The 6,612-nt window shown below is 39.0% G+C and overlaps 1 long non-coding RNA gene across 1 annotated transcript; it reads left to right on the top strand.

Moving 5' to 3' along the window:
- Positions 1-1,650: 1,650 nt before the first annotated feature.
- LOC105372003 (uncharacterized) lies at positions 1,651-4,105 on the top strand. Its single transcript, XR_001753364.3, has 2 exons — positions 1,651-1,980; positions 3,827-4,105. It is a non-coding gene; the product is annotated as an uncharacterized LOC105372003 (long non-coding RNA).
- Positions 4,106-6,612: the final 2,507 nt, after the last annotated feature.

The following is a 6,612-nucleotide window of genomic DNA, read 5'->3' as shown; positions in this document are numbered from 1 at the left end:
AATGACTTTAATAGGGCCTTTAAAATTTATATTTATATATTTAAATAAGTGCTGATGGCACTGTTGTTTATAATATTAGGTTTCTTGCTGACCTCTCAGAATTTTCCTTAGAGCCTGAGACAGGCCGACTGGTTGGTTCCCTATCTTAAGATTGTCTGAAGGAAAAGGATAAAAGCCCCTCTACTCAAGCTCTAGCTTGTCTAACTCTCAGCCAATCAGCAATAAAAGACCAAGGAAGCTATTAATTGCAAATTTCTATTTCAGGGGGCTAGAGGCTTTCCCAGAGTCCCATATGTGGAGTCAGACTTAAACTCCAACCTAAAGTTATCTTTTCCTCATTTTAACACTAAAGTTCATGCCCAGGGGTGGAGATTTAAAATGCTAATGCTACATGAAATGTATGAAGAAACATGTTGAGCCATTGTGCAGGTGCTAGCAAAACTCCCCCTATACATTCCCTGAGGGAATCCTTCCCTATGGAAAGACCCTATACCTAACCGAACCACACAGTATCTTCGGGGAACAGCCCACTCCTTTTTGTTCTCTCATGACTGGCTCCCTGAGAGGTAATAAACTCTCTTCATTGCTGCCTCTGGTGATCTCTCTTGATTTCTATCCTGGGAAATCACAAGATCCCAGGGCACTGTTAAGAAGCTTATCACAGATTCTTTGAATTTCTTCAGTGGTTCTGAAACAAGAGTGTTCCCTTGACCCCTTTGCGGGACTTGTGACATGAGTGACTTGTTTACTTGTTTACCATGCTGAATCCCTTATGGAAGGAAGCACATGAGTGGATGGGTGTGGGACCCAGAGCAAATGAATGTGGAACTGGCCTGTGGCTCCTCTCCGGCGGGAGCAAGCTTTGTGTGGGTTCTGCAGCAGTGTCAAAGTGTGTTACAATGGTCTTTTAGCTCTGCGGTCTGGGAGGGGCTGTCTGCGACCCCCAGAGCCCCAGAGGGCCTGTGTTACAATCAGTGCTCCTTTAACATTTGCTGTCTGTGGATGGCTAAGTGTTAACCAGCTCAGTGGAAGGTGAGGGTGACAGCCTTTTACACTTTGCTGTCTTGGTACCTGAGTTCTGATCCAGTGTCCAGGAAGAATCAGGTCACATGAACAAATTGAAGATGGTGAATGTGGAGGACTTTATTGAGTGGTAAAAGTGGGCCTCAGTAGGAAAGGGAGCTGGAAAGGGGATGGAGCAGGAAGATAATCTTCCCCTGAAGCCCAGATGTCTCCAGCTGAACTCCTCTCTGACCATAGTCCCTGACCTCCAGCTGCTTCTTCTCATCTCAATATCCAGACACTTCTCTCTTCTGTGTGTGTGTCCACTGAGTCTGGGGCTTGGGATTCTTATGGGCACAGGATAGGGGGTGGTGTGGGGTGGGCCAAAAGGCAACAATCAGGTGGGAAAACAGGGATAGTTCTCACTTTGGGCTGTGGGTCCAGGCTTGTGGGTGGAGCCCTTGCCAAAGATCCTGCCCTCTTCTACCAGTATTTGCCTGCCTTCTGTCCATTTCAGTTCAAGACAGTTTGTGCAATTTGGAAACAGCCAGATCTAAACAGTGTAAAATCTGGATAGTCAGGCAGAATAAGGCTGGAAAAAATATATAATTATATAGAATAAAGCTGAAAAAATTCGCTGAGTAATACTCTGTGTGTGCACCTACATGCACATGTAACAAAGTGATAATTTCTATTTCCTTAGATGTTTCAAAATGTATCTTGAACATATGACAAATATTTAATGTTTTCTGGGTGACTACATTGAAGCCTACCACTCACTTGGGACAGAAAAGTCATTTTTTGGTGTGTGATTATACTTGCTATCTTATGGTCACAACTTTTAAAACTACATAGAAGCATTAATATTTTTATTTTTCCTTTAGATCCTTCACTGAATTCAACCCAGTCTACTCAACAGTTCACCAAGAGTCTTGCTATCTCCAATTTCAGGATATGCTTTCCATCACCAATACCCAGGTTAATGGACACTCCTCAACCCTTTGTCAGTCCCTGCCCAGCATTGCCTTTGAGACTGAACTCTGGACCGCCTTTCCATGTTCTCTTTTCTGTAAAAAGGAGACTTTTTATTTCTGGCAGCACTTGCCTAGGAGATAGCAAAGTTAAATGTTGTGTTTCATCACAATCAGTCTCAACTAACTAAAACTAATTAAACACTAGGGATTTTGAGTAACCCACCTACCCTCACTAGACCCTTTCTGGATCTAACTGAAGATGTTCATGATCAAGTAGCAAGAGGCTGTTTCAGCTCTCATGTACAGATCTCAGCCTTGTATGAAAGGTAGTTCTCAGTGCTTAATTAGCACCAGCAGCATGGCCCTACGCTTCATAGCATTTAAAACCTTCAGTTTTGCCCTTAGGTCCACCTATGCAGTTGTCCCCTAATAAGCTCAGCTCAGCTCCAGGCCACCCCTGGCTCTGTGGCCCATGGTTTTTGTATTATTCTTTGTCATCTCTAATTAGCCTCTTCTGCCTCACCACTACTTAATTATTTATCCTTCTCAGAACTTCTGGCGTGTATTGTACTATATTTTACTTTTAAAATATGTTGCCAGTGTTCTCAGTTTGTCATTTATATGACATGTTCCATGACAAAGTACATCCCTAATACAAAGCCTTAAGCAATCTCATTAAGGACAGATTGCTGGTATCTAATTTCTTTTCCCATTCCTAGAGGCAGTGGTCTTCAAAGTGTGGCCTCCAGACAGCAATATCAGTATCATCTGGGAATTTGCTAGAAATGTAAATTCTCAAGTCCCAGCTCAAACTCAATGAATCATAAACTCTGGGTGTGGGGCCCAGCAGTCCTTCAGGTGTTTCTAACCACATATTCAAATTTGACAATCATTTACTCAGGGTCTCACCCCTGGTAGTGTCTTAATAAATGCCTGTTAGGTTGACTCTGATAAGTCTTTCTCTCAAGCCATCTTAAAAAGCATGGAATCCAAAAATTCCAGAAAGAAATGAGGAAAAATGTTACAAAGAATGAAGTAGAGATTTTAGGTTTACGAGCAATTAGAGGGAACCGAGTCTTCACAAAGAAGCACAATATCCTGATTTCCTATCTCATGCTTGATTTTCCTACATTGTCTCACCTCAGCTACGTGATTCCATTTATCTCACTAACCCTTCTGTTTGCCTTCTGTAAGGTTACATGTGGATTCTGAGAAAATTCTTTTTCAACTTTCTATCTCTTATTCCCATTTCAGTCTATGTCTTCACAGAAAATTATCACTGCAAAGCTGAGCGGTTTCTGGAGAATCTTGGCTCATTCACTGAATTCTTTGGGAAGGGCTGGTTCCCTTTGCGCATCTTCACTAAACTTGGACCTTTTTGATGACTCTCATTTTCTATCACCACCATAGTCTTTAGATGTCCAGTGGAGCAGGGAAACTGATGGTTTCCTGCACAGGTTGCTCGGGGCAAAAATGGAAGTTGGAAGTAAGGAAAAGCATGGAGTTGGAATTGGATGCTGAATGCTGAAGCAAAAGAGTACTCAACGTCTCTATGGTTTTGCTTTGTGCTGGGCCTTCCTAAACCTTGTGAACACCTGATAAATGTTCATTTGATTATGTCAAGCTCTTTGGAGCAGTAGCTTTCAACCCTGATTAGGATGTCAGAATCCTTTGGAAGAATTTTTTAAAAGTCTATGGGCATGGAACCCATCCATCAGTATTTTTAAAAATTTCCCAGGTGGTTTCCATGAGTAGCTAAGGTTGAGAACCGTGGTTTTGGATTTCCCACTTGATGATTTTAAACCGTAACATCACTTTGCCTATTTTTCGAAATATTCCTCTTTCTACAGTCAGCTTTCAAAAGTCAGACTACAACTGAATCAAAGAATTACACAAGAAAAGGGAAACTGAGTCATCCTTCAGCAACTCCAGGAACAAATCAAGGTACATATAATGATGGGGTAGTAAATGCTAATACCATCTATCTCCTTCCCTTGTATCCATCCCTGTTTTTGTTCCCCTCTTTCCACTCTGGCTTCCTATTCTCCCTTTTTGGCAAAATATCCACTATCCTTGAAGAAAGCGAACCAGCAAACCTGCTAATATTAAAGCTTCAGTGACCCAATAGGTAGCTACACTTTGAGGAACATTTGCATTTCCAAAGAAATTATCTGAAGACAAAAATGTCTAATTCAATGGGCTGAAATGCAAATTGTAATATTTCAGGCTAGAAAGATATCTAACCCAAGGAACTTCCTTATCATGCTCTGAGAGACAGTAGGCTGCCTCATGGAAGGCCGTTATAGATGTCCAACTAAACATTGCAAAAAAACAGGTATAGAAGCATTGGCTTGGGACTGAGAAATGATATTCATTTGGTGCAAAAGTAATTGTGATTTTTTGCCCTTGAAAATGATGGTTAAAACTGCAATGACTTTTGCATCAACCTATGGATTAGTAATTGATACACAAAGACATGACACATGAGAATACCAAGTGCACTGCTTGGCACATGGTAGACATTCAACAAATGCTTCTCACTGACAACTTTTGCTTTCCTCCTCAATCACCCACTTTTTAGAATCCTTGAAAAAATCTTACAAATTTTTCAAATATTCAGGAAACTTAAATAACATCAGATTTAGAGAAGACTTATTGACTGTAGCCAATTTTTGGACCTATACATTTTTTAAACTATGTGATGGGAATCTCTTCATTTTTTAGAGCAACATGGATGCATATCAATTACGAACCTTGCTAAATCATCCTATCTCTGAGGCAATAAAATTCATTATCCTGGTTAGTTTGAGGATACACTTAACCCATAAACACCAACAGCAAGTATAGATTCAGACATTTGTATCTATAATTTAGACAGTTTAAAATGCAATATTAAGTAATTCAAAAATTGTTCAAAGCTCAGTACCTTTTCACACATTAATACTTTGATTATCAACTTCCTTTTAAAGAGTGAGTAGAAAAGGGTTAGTAAGTAGAAAAGAGTAAAAGGCCTTTCTTTCACAATTTGCCAAGACATGCATTACTTATTTAAAATAAAAAAAAATGCTGTTTGAAAAACAAGGAGGATGGCAAGAATGAAGCTCCTTCATGCAAGATACCTCTGATTACCCTCTAAAGACAGATACTATGGCATGGTCATAGAATTACTGCGGGAAAAATTTGTCCACTGAGGCTGCTTCCTCCAGAGGTAAGGTTTAACTTACGGTAACTTGCTATGGATCAACAGCTCAAGATGAAGTGTGTGGCTGGCAATTTAAGTGTAAAATTAGATTTCCAGTATAATCAGTCATCTGATAGCCCATCTAAATGTATTCTGCATTTGCACATTTAATTAATTATGTCTTAATTGATAACATTTTGCTCATAACGATTGGTTCTAATTTTATTCCAAATTAAATTAGTAGGGGAGAAATTTAGTTTGGGAATTTATTGATTTATATATATATATTAAAGAAAAAGTAAAAATCATGGATTTTCTCTTTTCTTCTTAAAAGGAAATATCTTTCTGCTCATTTAGAGGTGCAAAGGAAAACATTTAGAACTTTCCAGATGAATAAATTGCATTTCATCTGAATGAACATCTAACTTTGGAGATGGAGAGAACATTCTTTTGTATTGTTGTAGATATGCCTAGTATAATATTGGTATAATTAATTTTTCAGCTACAATGCAGATTCCTGGGTCAGTGCAAAAGATCTTGTTTATTTAGAAGTGATTATCTGAGAAAGTGGCTCATTAGTCTTAGATTCCTGGAATGCACAGTCTGGTCTAGAGATTAAAATAGCTATTTAAATTCCCTTTATGAAAATTGTGCCTGACAGGGCACTTCCATGTGCAGTGAGGTTTGTATTTGCACATCTAGAGCATCCAGGAAATCAGCGAAGGTGGGTTTTGTGTCTTTAGATATGCTACAGTTGATAAACCCTAAGATTCAGATATTAACTATTGGATAAGCTCTTGCATTTCCCATAACTTTAGCTTTGAAGCCATTCATTACCTTAATACTAAGGAAAGAATGTCAGAAAATCCAAAGAGAGAGAATTCTCAGTTATGATTTTTGGACATATAATTGGAAAGAAGTCAGATTTGGCTTTTACAATTAGTGCCATATAATGTCACACAAAGTATTTCCTGCAGTGTGCTCAAAGAGGTCAATTTGTGATTTATTTGCAAGTCATAGTTCTGAAATTACTGACTTGTGTGTGTAACAATTTAGCTTTAACTTGGGCACTTAATTTAGCATTAAATATAGCTCCTCTTCAATACTGATCCTTGCCCTGAACAAGATGTCATTTCATAAACCCAATTAAACATGGTGCCTACTGTGGTTTAAATACCAAGACAGATTAAATGTATTGTCCAGTTTCACAGATCAGCAATGCTTCTCTTCCTGTATCACTAGCTCATGATAATAACATAAGGGACCAGTCTGTGCCAGTGGATGGGCCAGAATTAAAAGAGGATAAATATTGATGTCCTGCCTGAAAGAAAACTGGGCACCCAAGGTGTCAGAGAGTTGTCTGATATACTGTGACATGAATGTCCCATATATATAAATTGCAGCCTTTTTAAAATAAGGTAGAATTGTTTGTGGAAGATTAAAAACTCTCTTTCT

This window comes from Homo sapiens, chromosome 18 (genome assembly GCF_000001405.40).
Source record: "Homo sapiens chromosome 18, GRCh38.p14 Primary Assembly".
NCBI classification, from domain to species: Eukaryota; Metazoa; Chordata; class Mammalia; order Primates; family Hominidae; genus Homo; species Homo sapiens.
This window is presented reverse-complemented; position numbering and strand designations above follow the sequence as displayed.